This window comes from Homo sapiens, chromosome 1 (genome assembly GCF_000001405.40).
Source record: "Homo sapiens chromosome 1, GRCh38.p14 Primary Assembly".
In the NCBI taxonomy this organism is placed as follows: Eukaryota; Metazoa; Chordata; class Mammalia; order Primates; family Hominidae; genus Homo; species Homo sapiens.
Window position 1 is genome coordinate 193,671,045 of NC_000001.11, and position 18,034 is coordinate 193,689,078.

The window sequence follows — 18,034 nt, forward strand, 5'->3', positions numbered from 1 at the left end:
AAGTCTGCTATTGTTATCAGATGCTAGGCATGAGCTAGATGAAATGGGTTTAGAGGTGCAGTATATGAAGCTACTGGCTAACTGAGCCCTCTTAACATAATATTGTAATGATAGATAATTTTGTAATCATCCAAATGTCTGTTAATTTTATTATATTGTTGCCTCAAACAATATCTCTTTCAGTGGTTGGAATTATGGCACATAGAGAGCTACAGATGAATTATAGTACTGGTTGATCTAATTAAAAAACAAATCTCTTCCAGCTTTTTCTTAATAATTATGAGCCATGTAACACATGCAGAATCCTTCCTTCTGGTCTTGTGAAGGCATCACAAACTAATCAATGTGCTGATGCTCAGTTGGTTAAAGTACCGAATCTACTTTCACATACTTCCAGCCCACTGCAGATAGTTTGGGCTATTTGGCTTGTTTTGGCCAATAAGCTGTGAAAAGAAGTGATATCTACTACCTAGACACTAAAGCAGAGAATAGTACCTGAATTGTCAGCTGTCTACCTCCTGGAAGGTCGGAGGAGGTTCCATCATCCAGGTGGTGCAGTTACAGTTTGCTGGAGTCTGTGTCAGCCTATGTTCTATCCCGTGCAACTCCTCCCACCCCTGCAATTGAATTTAAGGATGTATCCTGGCTAACGCAAGTACAATTTACAATAACAACAAAAACAAATGCTAGTAAATGTTAACTAGTAAGAAACACATACATTCACAATTACTTCAAAAACTTAGATTGCTAGTCTATAGAGAACAGTTTGTGTAAAGGCATGGAGTCATGAAGTGACTTGATTGCTAGGGGAACTGCTGCTGGACTGTACTGAGTAGAGCATGTAATTCTTGGGGAGTCATGGCAAGGTGTTAACTAACTCATAGGTTTGCCTGGCTATGCTGTATATGTTTACATTTGTAACAAAATTAAGAGAGCCCATATCATTCAAACTCTTAAAGAAAACCTGAATGAGAACTTCAAAATAGTAATCACTCATTGGTTGCGATGATTACTTATAAGAACTTATCAACCAGCTTTCCACATTACTTCTGACCTCCAAGTATAATAGTTAATGACCCTGTAGTGCATAAGGTCACAATGTCCACATAACTATTTCTTCTAGACCAATAATTGTCAATCTTTCCTAGACATAAGAAATCCCTGGGAGTCTATAAAAAATGCAGGATGCCAAAGCCACACTAAAGACTGATTAAATCAGAATATCTGGGAGAGGTCCTAGTCATCTGTATTTTGCAGAGATCCTGAGATACAAGATACAGCCAAAGTTGAGAACCACTGTTCTAGAAAGGAGAAATATGCTATTATATCATATATGCTTCTTCATCTTTGATATGTATAAAAAATTACAAAAGCCATTATTTCCACCTTAGTAATAACTTTCTACTGGTTTATGGGTATGTGGTATGTTGTCATTTCTAATGACCAAGTTTCCTTGAATGATTTAACTGCCTTTTCCTTAGGAGTGTTATTTGAAAAGAATAGTAATACCTCTGGGGAAATCTTAAAATTCCCGATTTCTATGTTTCAAGGGCTAGATTAGAGTTTTCCCAGGTTTTGATCCATTAATTTACTTCCTCAAGGCCTTAGCTAGACAAGGAAAGTGCCATGTGGGAGCTGACATTCAGATAAAATCACTACATGTGTTTGTTTGAAGGTAATTATTGAAGTAAACACATTTGACATTATTCCAGTGTGCCAGGTGCAGGATATGTGTATGTACAAATGTGTGTGTCTTGGGAACAACAATACATCCTTGGTGTATTAAAGAATTGGTAAAGAAAAATACTTGATATTTACACAGTGGGAAATTTTTTTTGAAGCTTTTGCATCTTTATGAAGTCTTTGCAAAGCCTGAATTTGTTGGCACAAGTAAATTCCATCTGTTGCTCTTAAAGAAATATTGACTTGCACTTTATTATTTGGAAAGACATGGGTGAAATAAGTTTACATATAGGTGTTTGATATGGTTTGGCTCTGTGTCCCTACCCAAATCTCATCTTGAATTGTAGTTCCCACAATCCCCACATGTTGTGGGAGGGAAGTGATTGGATCATGGGGGTGGGTTGCTCCATGCTGTCCTTGTGACTGTGAGTTCTCATGAGATCTGATGGTTTTATATGTGTTTGTCATTTCCCATGCTCCAGCATTCTCTCTCTTGCTGCCCTGTGAAGAGGTGCCTTCTGCCATAATTGTAAGTTTCATGAGGCTTCCCCAGCCGTGCAGAACTGTGAGTCAATTAAACCTCTTTTCTTTATAAATTACCCAGTCTTGAGTATTTCTAAATAGCAGCCTGAGAAAGGACTAATACAGTATTTATATAAATATGTATTTATATCTATGTAGATAGCATCTCAGACTGTGCACATGACAATACATGTTCTCAAGTAATCAGCTTCACGAACTACTGACATGCATTATGTTCTTATTCCTAACATTCCTTAAACACAGCATATTGTCAGTGAGTAAACCATGAACCTTGCAGCTAGACTAGTTGAATCTGAATCCCAGCTATACCACTTACTAGTTGTATGACTTTGTGAAATTTCCTCAACATCCCTGTGTCTCAATTTCTTTATCCTTAAAGTGGGGAATGATAGTCATAGTACTTACTTTCTTTTCCTTTTTCTTTTTCTTTCCTTTTTTTTTTTTCTTGAGACGGAGTCTTGCTCTATCACCAGGCTGGAGTGCAGTGGTGTGATCTCTGCTCACTTGCTCACTGCAACCTCTGCCTCCCAGGTTCAAGTGATTCTTCTGCCTCAGCCTCCTGAGTAGCTGGGACTACAGGCATGCACCACCACACCCAGCTAATTTTTGTATTTTTAGTAGAGGCGGGGTTTCACCATGTTGGCCAGGATGATCTCGATCTCTTGACCTCGTACTCTGCCTGCCTTGGCCTCCCAAAGTGCTGGGGTTACAGGCGTGAGCCACCATGCCTGGCCAGTACTTACTTTCATAGTATGGTGTGAGGCATAAATGAGGTAATACATTTAAAGTGCTTAGAACAGGGCCTGGCACATAGATGATGCTAAAAAATTTTTTTCTTTTATTCTGAAATAATCTAAAATATTGTGTAAGAAAAGTCCATAATGTATATAAATAACTTTATATTAAAAACTATTGTGTAGATTGTATTATTATAAAAACTATTATGTAGATTGTATTATTATAAAAACTATTGGGTACATCATATGTAGACAAGAATTCCTAGGTTACCTCTATCCTCTAAACGCATTTTGTTTATACACACATTGATCCTTAAGCTTCATGCAGTTTTATGATTTTTGCCTCATAGCTTTCACACTGTTGGAAACCCCACAGAGTATTTGTATCTGGTGTGTTCCACGAAATCTTCTCTCTGCCTGTTCAGTTTCCTGGTTGCTTCAATTGTGAAGCCTTGGCGGTTTCCAGTTGAGGATTTATGTTATGATTTGTTGACTCTGGTTATGTTATCTGGTTTTCCTTTACTGTGGTTATATGTCTATTAAGCCTTACTGATTCTGTGGGGAGAGGTGTAGGGATGTTCATTGCACTAGAGAAGCCTATTATGTGGTCTTCAATTACTGAAGTCTTGGTTGTGTGCTTCTGAAGATTTGTCTACATAGATGGTTGGTGGCTAAAAAAGAAAATGATATCTGCCACGTATTTGCTTTCTCGTGCTTTTCACTCAAAATTTATCACTTATCAAAATATACATGACTCATTCTTTTACAGACCAACTGGTGACTAACTATCCTGAGAGACGTTGCCTTTAAATGAGACCTTTAGATACCATATATCATAATTCAATGAAGCAAACATCTAATTAAATGCTGGACGTCCTGGCATAGGGATGAAGCCAAAAAATGCAAGGCATTGCTATCAAGCTTTCCTGGTTACCTCTACTAAAAATCCGCCAGTTTATGTGAGAAGACTATTTTGCTCTAAGGTTTTGTACACATTTTAGAACATTTAGGGTAATGAGCAGAACTTTATGTGTTTTCTGGAATTATTTCAAAAGTATACTTATAAGGGCTTGAACTAGCAATAGAAGAGCCACAGTGTGCCAGAGAGCACAGTTTCTGTAAAACAATTCAATTAAGAGACTTTTAAAAAAAAATCATAGCGATTTAATGTGCCATCAGCTGAAAGAAGTCACCCACTAATCTTGTCATTTAACACTGAGAATTAGGGTAACGCTGCCGGCTTTAATGGAATTATAAATAGGCCACCTTTCCACTAATGGATATTTTATATCAGCATCTCATTTAGAATTTTAGTCAATTAGAGTTTCTTTTGTTACTTGCTCATAGAAAGTAAAAGGAACATATCAAATATAGAAATTAACTATGGCTAACTCAAGGTTGTTTCATTTACTCTCAATGAGAATTTCCTCTGATAGGAAGGGATACAGCAAGTTAAGGCATTCTCTCTCTATGTGATGCTTTAAAAAAAGTCAACCTAGTAAGGAGAAATCACAGTTGTTTTTAGTTGGAAAATTCTATCATTTAATTATTTTTTGAGGTAACTGGCTTAAAAATGTATGAAATGGGGGCATGAGTAAAATGCTAATGTTATGGCATCTAAGAGCCTATATTTTAATTTAGCTTATATCATTTGTATCTTCTAATCAATTTCCATGAATTCTCACTAGTCTTCAGATTACTCATTTATCAGAAAATTATTAATCCCATGTTAAACACTTCCTAAATCTCAGTGTGGTAAACGGTTGCCTGTTTATCAGTTGCAGAATGGTTCAAGGTCCATGGCATTTTTGCCATTGTTTGCTTATAATTGCACCTAAATTACTGTCATCAAATAGGACGGGAGTATGAAACAGGTAGTATATCATTAGAAGACAGTTCTCCATAGGTCTCATGCATTTCTGCATGTCTTGAGAGTTAAGCACTGACCGCTTTTGTTCCCGGCTATTTCTTCAGTATTCCTATAGTAAACAGCCTTGAAAGATGGAGACAGTATCTCCCTCTGGAGCAAAGAATAGGCTCTATTAGTGTTCATTTTAAAAGGCTTGGTTTCACTAACTTCAGTTTTTTTTCTTCTGTAATACAGCCTACTCCATGTGCAGATGTCACCTGAGCCTCTTTATGTCACTTTGTGGGAATTGGAGCTTGGGGAACCAGTGCAAATGCTGACATTCTAGCTACTGCTATTGCTGTAATAAACTATCTTTTGTCTCTGACCCAAGAGACTCATATTCTACCAGCATTCATAGAACTGTAGCAGGCTAACTTGTTAGCTTGTAAGTAGGGTAAAATATCAGACCCTTCACAATTCTTGACCATTCAAAAACCATCTGCTTGGCTCTTCTCATAATATTCAATTAATATTATTATTTTAGTTTTCTCTTCCACATTCCTTAGTTTGAAATCCAGGATTAGCCAGTTATCCTCACTGAGCCTCAGTTTACTTATCTGCAAAATGAAGATAATTATCGCCTTATGGACTATTTGGAGAATTAAATGAAATAATACTTGTAAGAAAATTTTGTGTAAAGCATTGCACTACTTTTAGTAATTTTAATGATTCATTCTGTAGCTTACATTAAGTTTTCTGTTGTAATGTATTGCTCACTGACATGTTAAAAATAATTATAATAATCTGTCATCAGGACACTCTAAAACATCCTTGTGAAGTTAAAAAATAGGGGCAGAATTTTTTCTCTTCATGTTTCAATTGGAAAATGAAGACAAAGAAATATTAAAATGGTTTTCTATAGTTTCACAGGTTTTAGGACTCAGGTATATTAGGAAGCAGACAAAATCCATGCATGGAAATCTATAGATGTTTCTATCCATGAAACATTATTTTCAAAATTTCCTTAGCATAAATTAGAACATTGAATTGTAACCATGGGAAATTATCTTAAAAGTGAAAAGCTGATATTACTGGACACTTTCACATAGGAATATATTGTCTTTGATATCTTTATAAAATAGTTTAAAAACATCTGTAATTATTAAAAATAGCAAACTAGACTGGATGGACACATACTAAATAATATAGAGTCAGAAGCAGAATAAAACCCAGTTAACTAACATCCCTTATGGTTTTTATCTTACCTAACCATAGCTCTGCCATAAGGCATTGCATATTTCCAAAGGTTCAGGGATGAGTGGTGGAAGGTAGGACGGTGAGTCATGAGAGAAAGGAAAAATCCAGGACCTAGTATGTGTGACTTATCCCAGGGAGTCATTTCTCATGAATCCATTGATGCTGGGTTGATTTTCTATAAGTAATTCCTAATCATGGACATCTTGTTAATAACATTCAATAGATAAGATCTCCCATCATAGCAAATACCATTCCTGTATTTGCTCCAAGTTCCAGTTATCATCTTGGTAGGGAGATTAGATCAGTCATCTGTTTTCTTTTCTTTCCTCCAAGGACTTCCTATGGTATACACAGCAAATCTATCTCAAACCGGATATGTTAACTCTTTTCTCTCCAAGTATGTAGAACTAATCTGGATGTCTTTGTTAAGCCTTTACTGAACATTTTGTATGTATTATCTCGTTTCATCATAGAAATAACTCAGCAAGATTGGGGAATACTATTCAATGTTTGCAAAGAGAAAAATGAACTTCAGAGGACCAAATTTTCTCCAAGTTTACATAGATTTAAGCGCTATAATCAAGACGTGAATTCGGATCTCACTTAAGACGTAGTCCATGCATTTTATGTGTATCTTATGTATCTCAAACCTCAGATACTTACCCACAAATGTATTATCCATGTATTGGGAAGTTGGTCTTCTATAACCTGTGTCTGGAGGTGATTTAGTTTTCCAAAAGCAGTGACTGCTCTGGCAGAAACCATCCTCTGGTTTGAGAGAGCAGGTGCTCCAAAATTTTCCAGAGACCCTTCTTTAGTGGAACTGAAGTGTACAGAAAGTAAGTCTAGTGTTACAGAAATGCTAGATTCTGCCCACACACGTTAGTTCACATATCTTTGGACTCACTTGAACTAACTAAAATGACAGTTACAAAGATATGAAACTCTAAAGTCCTTGTGATCAAGGAAAGAATGACTCGTTAGTACGTAGAGACTAATAGAGCTCCACTCATGTATTCTGACCAAACTGTAAATTCTGATAGCAGACAGAGGTTGAAGGAGATTTTCTTAGGGCCCAAGTGTTTTTCTTGGGTGGTTGCTAAGGGCCTCTTCATCCACAAGAATGTCTTTGTGTTTCTTTTCCCTTTTCTCTTTTCCAAGCACAAAAAAACCCTCAAACTTTCATCACTTTCCTGTTATATGTTGAACATGCTAGCTATTATATTTTCTATAGCTCTCATCTTTTCAACAACAGAAAAGTTATAGGCCACCCTGTACTCTTTCCCCTACCTTTTCTGAGATGTAGCAACATAAACTGTAAGAAGTAAAGTACTCAGGGGACGTGTGTGTCTGTTCATATCTGTGTGTGAGGGAGTAGCAAGTAGAGGATAAATAGCAATTTACAAATTTTGAAAATATGTATTCTGATTATTAAAGTACTTAAAGATATAATCTGAGGGCACTCACAAATAAGTACTTATTTTACCAGTGGGTTGGAAGTGGTCCTACCTAGTATACTAGAAATTTATTATTTGTATTATTTTTTTTTTGTAAATCACATTGATTTGATTTGGTTTGAAAATATGTCCCTTCCAAATCTCATGTTGAATTGTAATCTCCATTGTTGGAGGTGGGGCCTGGTCGGAGGTGTTTGGTCATGAGGGTGGATCACTCATGGCTTGGTGCTATCCTCAGGATAGTGTGTCAGCACTTGTGATATGTTTAAAAGTGTGTGAAACCTCCCCCCCCCCGCCCACTCTCCCTCTCATTCTTGCTCTAGTCATGTGACATGCCTGCTTCCCCTTTGCCTTCCACCGCAATTGTAAGGTTCCCGAGGCCCTTGCCAGAAACCAAGCAGGTGTTGGCGCCATGCTTGTACAGCCTGCAGAACCGTGAGCCAATTAAACCTCTTTTCTTCATGAATTATTGAGTCTCAGGCATTTCTTTACAGCAATGCAAGACTAGCCTAACACACATAAACTAAACCATTTATGAAAGAGAAATAATATGTTTATAAACACAACATTTATACAGTTCAGTAGTTACTTCCTATTATCCACACGTTATATATAGTGGATAACAACAATTGTGTTAATTATTTCAAATGCATATTTCTTGCTATACTGTAGCTTATTTAATAGTAATTAATAAAAAGCAAATAGAGTTAATGATTGCATAAATATAACATGCCAAAACCAAGAATTGTAAGTTTCTCATACTACTTGTTTATATATTCTTGGTTATTTATAGTTAAGTCCCCATAATACATTCATAGGATGATTCAACTGACTCAAGGAATGAGATAAATAACTTTTGAATCATTTAACTGTTTTTCTTAATCTTTTGGAAAACCAGACAGAAAAGTAACATGAATTTCATGTTAGGTATATATGGTTATGATCGGGAATTGATAAGAGAAAGCACTGCATTGCCCTGAGTCATGGTTCCCGAGTCATCTTTGATAGTGATATTGGTGGGTGCCTATGGGTAAATATTGAACTTCTTGGAAGCTAATGACTTAACTTCCAAGTCAGTGCTCTTAACTGTGAACTGTGTTAATTTCTCTAAAATGTTCACTTCACTGGGTCACATAGGGGAATAAATGAAGTAATGCCTGGAGTACTGTTCCCTAACTCCTCCAGTGGCTGGTTCCTTTTCATCCTTCAGATCTCATCTCAAAGGCAATGCCTGGGTAAGACCTGCTTTTCTGTTCTCCACCACCCCACATGATGACGCACCCCCATCAATGACTTTCATTCTCTACCATATCACTGTTTATTTCCTTCATAGCACTTACAACTTTCTGAAATTTTCTTTCTTACATTTTTCTTGTTTATTGCCTGCTCCTACAGAATGTAAGTTTCATGGGGTAAATAAAATTTATCTTTCCTCCTGTATGTCCCAGGATGGTACTAAGACATGGTGTGATGTGTAGTAGACATTCAACAAAAATACAGAGGCAGAAAATGGGCGTGCAAAAAATATAAATTGCAAAGCAAAATGCAAGTTGGCAACCTTGATTTCATGCTCAAAACCATGTCTTCTGTTTTATCTAGATGCATGTATAGTTTTTCCTAGTAAGAAAAATTTTCCCCTGTAAGTTTTGGGGGTGTCAATTTTTTTGTCTTTTAAAAAAAGATCTTTGGAAATATTGGCTGGATGAGCAATGGTGAAGACACAATAAGCTTAGCTGTTAGAAGCTAAATCTGCACTTTGTGAAAGGAAATAACATAGGAATGCCCCTGTTGTGCCCAGCCCAGGCTCTGGAATTGATATGGAAATCTTCTAATTACTAATGTGATTGAACAAGAGCAGATGAAGAGATAAAGCTCTGGTCAAAGAGAAGACTTCATCTCCTAGGTTGTAATGAGACACTTTGAATATCCAAGTGTATCTGCTGTGACTTAAACCAGTTAAAGGTACTCTTTCATGGATACCAGCTATTTTTGTGAAAGCTCAAGTTTACCTGAGGAAAATTTACTGTTAATAAGTTTATTCAATACAAGCCACATGGGGAATATCATTTTGACGGGAGAGATAATCCTCAGCCACTTAGCTATCTAAAAATAGAAATACCTCAATTCCTAGATCTGAAAGTATGTACATTTAAAGAAGGCTGGAGGAAAATAATCTTTTTGCTTTGCCTTGAAAGACAGATTGGATGAATGCCTGCTCTGGGGAGGCAGTAGAGCCTGGTATAAATAACATTGGCTCTGGGATCACAGTAAACAGGTTTTGATCATGGCCAATTGTTAACTCTATGATTTTAACTCCATAAGCCTCAGCTCCCTCATCCATAAGATGGTGGTGATGACAACAGTCATATAGGGTTGTTGTGAAGATTAAGAGGGTATGCACTTGCACACACACACACACACAGACACATACATACGCAAAGAGTGATTTCTGACACATGCAAGCACTTTATAATGGTCACTATAAAACTGCTATCTAATCAGTCACTTAAGGAAATAAAGATCTAATTGTTTGCTTCTGTGATGGCCCTCTGCTTCTGCAACAGTGGCTCTTTGAAGTAAAATGTTCCTGCTGTTCTCTCAGAGCTCTGGAGGAGTAAGAATTACTATAGGAGTGTGATATGATAGTGAATAAATTGACAGGAGACAGTTCTGGAATCACAGAGAAAGGGATCGGGGCTGCTGAAGTTACACTGTGAGGCTATAGCTTTCAATGGCAATTATTAAATATTACTACCTTTCGGTGTTTCTTCAGAGGAAAACTAGTGCTTTTGAAATATATTATTTTCACTAAAAGTCTATGTTAAAAAATCTTATCTTTTGGGTACAATAATGTAAGCACACTATGAGAAAGCCAGTTTATATCTGTTGGTTCTTAAGTACTTCTTTTTTTATTGAGTCTTTAAAAATATTAGCAGTATCATTTTTATATGAATAATTTTAAATGGCTCAGGTTTGCTAACCATTGTAAAACCCAGGAAGTAAGGGGGTGTGTGTGTGTGTGTGTGTGTGTGTGTGTATGTGTGTGTATTCCCTATGGGTAAAGGGCAAGGGCAAGTCGTATTCTTCTTAAGTATTTGTTGACATAAAAGAAAATGAAGCTTGGTTTTAATATTTTCCTCATTGTTACAGTCTTATAGTATTTGCTTAGGTAACCCTGCTGCATGAAGATCCAGGTTTTTTTTTTTTTTTTTTCAGGGTATTACTTATTTACTGGCTTAAATCACAAAACATGGTGGTTTCTAAGAATTAATTTTGTGAGTCATTATCAATGTACTCTCTAGAAAGCATGAAGCCAAAAAAAAGTTTTTATATTTAAAAAGATGTCAAAATGATTAAGATTTGGAGGAAAATATAGAAAACCATAGTTAGGAGTCTCATAGAGCTGCTAGTTTAATTCAAATATTCATTAAATATTTATGTTCAACTATGCAGTGGGTTCTTTCCTAGAAAGTGGACATCTGGAGTTAAGTAAATTAGGTCCCTGTCCCGAAAGGAACTTGCAGAAGGAAAAACCTGGAACCATAGAAATACCATAAAATATTTTCAAGTAATTGCCATTATTATTATCCTGGTGAGTAGCCCAGGTTACCTGGGCAGTTAGGTTTATCTGAGGGCTGTCCACATGATCCCTAGACCAATAAATGTTTTGGGATTTTGTCTGCCAAAGCTATTTACAGCGATATATACAGCTCTAAATTGTGTTTTAAAGTTAAATATATAATTATATATGTATGTTTATCTATTTTTCTATTCATGTCTTTTTATTTGGGCCTTTGTTCTCCGGCATCTTGGGTTATTATTGGGTTTACGTTTGCAGGATACGTGCTTATATTCTCGTCCAAGGTGTTCCACACTGTTTGGCGGTGGTCTGTGCTCAGAAATCTGGTTAGTAACTTTTCTGGCTCTCCAGCCAGGGATCAGATGTTTCAGCTAAGCCTTTAATGGATTTTGCTTTAGATCAGCTGCAAACTACAAATGTTGTCTGTTCTGAAGTTGATATATCTTGTAGGAACTTTATTGATGTAACAAAATTTATTGATAAATACATCTTCCTTCCTAAATTATTTGAATTGTTAGATTTACCAAGTATGGATTGTTTAGCTCTATGCTTTTATATGTTTGTTCTTTCTGTTCTCTTCAGTAGAATTGCCTTTGCTATTCTTGACCAGCCTCACAAGTTTAATTATTGTGGACTTCTGACATGTTTTTAATATGTAAGGCAGCCATTCTTCTCTCTTATTGATATTCCCACCCCCCAAATTAAAAAAAAAATCCTGTCTTTTTATATTTTCATATTAATTTTAGAATAATTTGGTCAATTTCTAAAAATTACTTACGTCTGTTGGAATTTTATTAATATCTACATTAATTTGAAAAATACTACATCCTAGTGTTTTTCAAGCTCCTACAAGTCATTTACATCTTTTAATAAAGTTCCTTAGTCTTATTCAAATAGGTCTTCACCAAAACAGGGTTTTGAAGGGTAATTTTCTCTAATTGGTACTGGGAACAAACTGTAAAATTACTGGAATTGTTAAGTCTGTGAACTCAGAGCACCCACCCTGCCATTTCTGCTGAATACTAATCATCACATTAAAATTAGATTTTAGAGAGTACTTTCATATAAAGCATCCTACTTGATCCTCTCAATCATTGTGAAGTGGATGCTCTCATAATCCCCATTTTTACAGATTCCCTCTGCCCAGGATGCTCTTTTATCCCCACTGATGTATCTTTAAATCTTGTATATCGTTCAAAATCAGTTAAAATGTTCCCTCTTCCCCATAGTATTTCTTGATCTCGCCAGCTTACTCAAAGAAGTAATCTCTCTTAAATGCTTTTATCCATGTCTTTCTTAGGAATGTATAATTTCCATTTTATATGTCTTTCCAAGTCTCTAGATCACTATAGCACCCAGCACAGTGCCTGTCACACAGAGAGCACTCAAGTGGCCATATTGTTAATGGCTGCCTGGAAGTCCTGGGAGGCTGCAGAAGCAGAATTTTAACAATTCAGGTGCTTTTCGGCGTGGCTAACACTTCAAACACCCAGACCATCAAGCAGTAACATTCACCTAGTAATGAAACCCACATCTTAGGCTTAGGATACCTATCTCTATTACTGATTTTACTTCATATTTTGTATAATGACCTTGCCATGTAAAAAAAAAAAAAAAGATAGTAATAAGTCCTTCACTGAAAGAATATTAGAAATGTCATATATGCAAAATACTCACTTTAAATCTCCCTTCCTTATTTATTTTCTTTTTTCCTTTTTCCACGAAATTGCACACTGTGTGCATGCTACTGTGCTAGGTATTTTTTTTATAGGAGTGTTTTGTGAAATCCACATCTGTTTACATACATGGTTACCTTTTTTTTAAATCACCTTCAGAAGATTAAAAGACATCTGAGGCTTCAATTTGTTTCATTAGAAAGGCAGTAATATAATGTTTTGCATTGTTAAGTCCATGCAACATCTTAAACATACAACAGAGGACATATATACATCTGTTAGTGGACATATAATGCAAATTTATAAGGTATGCTTAGTTAGAAAATGTAATCTTTCAAATGAACCCTCAAAGACTTTGATGGAGTGAACAGATTGGCGCAATATAAGCCCATTTGTATGTAACAAAAAAGAAGCATGCATTCATTTTTTTAGAGTTTTTATTTGTCAGAATAAAACGTTTTGCATTTTGAAGACAGAACCATTATCAAGCATTAAAATGTTTATAGTATTAAGGTTCTTAGCTTCCATGGAACTTGCAAAGAAAGAAACATTCATCTTTTCATTCTTAAGGAAATACAAAGGGACATTCATTTGCTTTTGTAAGCATAATGAAATAAAAATATTGAACATAGAGTCCTGACTGGTGGGGGAAATACATGTCACAATTTCGTGTCCCAGTATATTTTTTATTCTGCTGTAACCTTTGATCAACACCAGTTTCTTTCCTCTCTCTTCAAACGGAAAGAGGTCAACATAAACATACCGGTCAAGGATCTGACAGAACAGATTTATTGTGCAAGTTAGATTTTGCTGGAGCATTCTCTCCTTACATTATGCCGTAGGTGCTGGATTTTTTCTTTCTTGAGATATATATATTTTTCTCTCCTGAAAGAATGCAAACATAAAACACATAGGTTATTCCAAGAACTTTGAGATATGGTATACTAGATAAAAAATTATGAGAATATTCTTCACTGCTAGGAGACCCTACAGTGATAATGAATAAAACTATGTGAAAAGTGAGACATCTGAGGGCTTAACGGATATATTCAAAAGAAAAATGGAACTCTTGCAAATGCATATTTTTTATAGAGACTTTTTATTTCTAGTTTTTAAAAATGGGGCTGTGTCCATGCATCAAAAGTCTTATGAAAATGGAAGCATTTTTATATACAGGTCAGGAGAAAATACTGCCCTCATGCCTGTTTCTTTTTTGTTTTTTTGTTTTTTAAATTCATCACCTAGATGATTCAGGTTAATTATTTCTATGACCTAAATCTTCTAGGAAATGACTTTAATTATCCAGTTAACCTTGTATGTGTAACAGAGTTTAAGAAAGGCACAAGACCAGAAGAACATATATTTTTTCAAGTGTAAATTAAGTTCGCCTGTTTATTGACATCATGTGGTTAAAAATAAAAGAAAAATGATTTCTCAATTTAACTTGAATTAATGGAGGTCCTTGGCTGAAATCAAGGGCTAACATCGTCCAATGACCAGGAGACTGTGGGAGAGCTGACCAAGTATATTCTGGTTCAGAACTGTCCCTTCTCCTCTGATTGAGCTTTGAGCCCAGCTGAGTGCTGGATCAGCTCCCTAGGACAGCTATAACAAAGTACCACAAACTGGGTGGCTTAAAACAACAACAGAAATTGATTGTTCTACTTCTGGAGGCTAGAAGTCTGGAATACAGGCATTAGCAGGGCCAGGTTTCCTCCAAGAATTTGAGTATTTGAGTAGAATCTTTCCTTGCCTCTTCCTAGCCTTGGTGGTGGCCGTCAATCATAGTTGCTTGTTGACTTGTAGTTGCATTACACCAATCTCTGCTTCAGTCACCACATGGTGTTTTTTCTGTGTGTCTGTGTCTTCACATGGTCATCCTCTTATAATGGCACCAATTGTTTTGAGTTAAGGGCTTACTCTAATTTATTATAACCTCATTTTAATTACATCTGCAACAATACTGTTTCAAAAAATGAGATACTGGAGTTAGAAAATCAACATTATCTTTTTGGGGACCCAATAAAACCCATAACAAGTACCCTTCTTTATTATCAGGATGCTGGTCTGCCCAGCACTGCTGAATTCAACAAAGACCTCTGCATTGACAAATGCAATGGCCATTTTTATTCTCCTTAATGCCCTACTTCTTGATGGCATTCATGGTGTACTGCTAAGTACACCTACCAACCTGAAATTCTCTCCTCCCTTTGCTGCTTGGCAATGTTCCTATGAAGTAGAACTGATAATTATCTAAATGATAAGGCATTTTTGGCTGTCAAATGACTACCTCCTATCCCTACGTTATGTCAAGGCATATCTGATGGGACAAACCCATGTTACTCTTTTACTTCCCCATTTTGGTATTTTGTGGTCTTATCTGTGTTTTGCAGGGTATTAATTTTTCATTTTTTGAGTAGACTTTCCTGAGGTGACATTATCCACTTCTATGCCTTGAATTATCACTTGTATGCTAATGATTGCCTCATTCATGTGTCTAAGATCTTACATCTCAGCTGCGTGCTTAAAGTTTCCATGTGGATGTACCCCAGGTACCTTACATTTTTCATGTCTGCCTCTGAGCATGTGTTTCCTTCACAGGCAGAATTTTAGGTATCACTTTAGAATTCTATTTATCTTGTCCATATTCACTTGATTATTAGTTTTCATCCATTCAATTTTTTTAAACAACTCTTGTCTAAACCCTGCTAAACATGTCCAATTACTGCCTCAGTTTAAAGCCTGCTTCTTTCCTGGACAGAGGTTCTTCTATTCACAGACATATCCCACTTGTAATCAATCTTCTGCACAATGTCTAGGGTGATATTTAAAAACTGCGTTTCTAAACACATCTCTTTCTTGCTTAAAATACATCATCAACATAGTTTATTGATGCATTTTTAACCTCATAGTTTGAAGCCTTTGCCTACTGCTCTGGCCAAGTCCCTTGCACTGCTCCAGCCATGATGACTGTGTGCTGTTCCCTGGATGCAGAATACTATTTTATGCTCTTATGCCTGTGCTTCTGAAATGTGCTCTGCTATGAAAAAACTTCCACTATATTTCATCCTGCTAATATATGAAACTTTAATTCTTTTTAAGTGGTGTTTTCTCAAGAAAATATTCATAACTGAAAGAGACCCTCTAGACTATATTCCAATGGAACACTTCTCTAAGAACCTGAATTATTCGAATTGAACTTAATTTTGGTTTTGTTAGTCAACATAAAGATAAACATTCTCTTTCTGACCATTGCACAATTGATTGGAAAACTCAGTTGCATTAATATAGTTCTTCAGTCCTATTATGATTACAAAATTACTGTGAAACAAATACACATGTGGAGGTGAATTAAAGCAGTCCTAGTATTAAGCTGGATTGATGACTGTTCAACCAGCCTTCCTATTGAGTAGCTATTAAAGCTATTTGGCCTCAAAAATTATTACTTACTCAGAGACAGTTTCATTTCAAATGGAAAAGTGATGTACTGAATTGTAAACAATGGAGTTGATGGAGGCTGTCTGTGAACTGAACTGAAAATCACCTAATCAATCACAAATTTTTGGCTGTCATTAATGACTGAATTACCTGGGTGAACAATACCGCGGTGAAAAAGAACTTGGTTAGGTGGACTGTCTGACCTCTATGCCATCAATTGTATAACCATCTGATTGATTACTCTGTGACTGGCCTAAACTATCTGGAAAACTATCAATTTTCTGTCATGTCTAATGCTGTCCATACTATAATGCAGGCTATTGCTAAGACTGCATTATATTTAATTCTCCATTACTGGTGAGGAAGGTCACTGTAACTGGTGATACATGAAGCCCTTTCTCATCATGTGAATAGGGGGATTCAGATTTAAACAGTGCCTTAAAAAAAAAGGACTCATTTAATTTAATCAGAGTATCTGCAGTTAAGTGGTAGTAGTTCTCTTAAGTAGTACTTGAAAAACTTGTTCTTATCATTTTAGTATATCCATTGCTTACTCTTTATCATGATTTTGAAAATATCAGATGTTTTGACACCTGCATAATTTGACTTTTAAAATTGTATTCTTCTGATACATTCTAGAAAATAAGTGTTAATTTAAAAATGAACAAAGTTGCTGTAACTACAGAGTGGGTCATACAGTAAGAATCATGGAGTGCATGGCATGTGCAAGCTACAGCATCTCTAAAAATAGTAACTGGTCCATTGATAATTAATAGAGTGACTATAAAATACTTACTAAAACAGCTTTAGCTATTTGACATCCTAAAGTATACATTTACACATTTGTTTTAACAGTGGGAACCCAAACATTGGACACAGGCTAAGAAAAAGGCTAATAATAGTCAAGTGCTTTGGTTGACAGATCACTAAAACTAATTTATTCTCACGGGTTGTAAATGAAATATTTAAGATTCACTGGAAATTAACTTACATAATCCTGAAGTCAGGATTTCTTGCAGAGTATGTTAGTAGTAGCAATTCCTTTCAGAAACTCTTTGTGGTTGGAATTTATAACACTTAAGGCGTATGGGTATTTCATCTGCCGTAATCTTCAATTTGTGATGCCAACCATCGATTGTACTAACAGTATATTTCAAAAGAGATCTTCGAGACATAGATTTAAAGAAGATCTGATTACTCTAGGTAAAGCAAACTTACAGGAAAAAGCAGATTTTTGTATTTAAAACTAAGCAGTTATAGAAACCAAAATTTCAAAAATTTTATAGCAAGTGATGGATGCAACCAAAATAAAGTTCACTTGAATTATAAGAATTAAAGGGGCAGTTCTGAAAAATTGTGAAACTATTTGAAATCATTGCTTTAGAATTCAGTAAACTTAGATTCATTTTTATTTTTTGACTCATGATGACTATATTTTAAAGTTATATCAGTAACACTTTAGAACCAGATTTTCATTCAGGCATGTTTTTGTATTTTTTCATCTCAGGTATTGCTTAAGAATTCTGTTTGCCTGGGTTAACTGTGTTGTTATTATTAGTTTTACATCTACTAGAAACACATGAATTCAGGAATCTATTTAGGATGTAAATTAACAAAAGGAACAGAAGCCCTTACATGTAGTAAACTTTCTTACTTTAAATTATTTTAACAAATCCAGCAGTTTTACACCTCTCTCTCTATGTATATTATATACCCCCCAAAAATGCATACATATGAATATCAGAAATTTGTGTAAGAATAAACATAATGTCATTATTAACTCTAAATTGAATATGACCCAAATGTCCCTCAAA

The 18,034-nt window shown here is 35.6% G+C and overlaps 1 long non-coding RNA gene across 1 annotated transcript in view; it reads left to right on the top strand.

Annotated features, from left to right (window-relative positions):
* The window catches only part of LOC124904475 (uncharacterized), a 765,263-nt gene that overhangs the window by 216,760 nt on the left and 530,469 nt on the right, over positions 1–18,034 (top strand). The gene's annotated exons all lie outside the window — the stretch shown is intronic.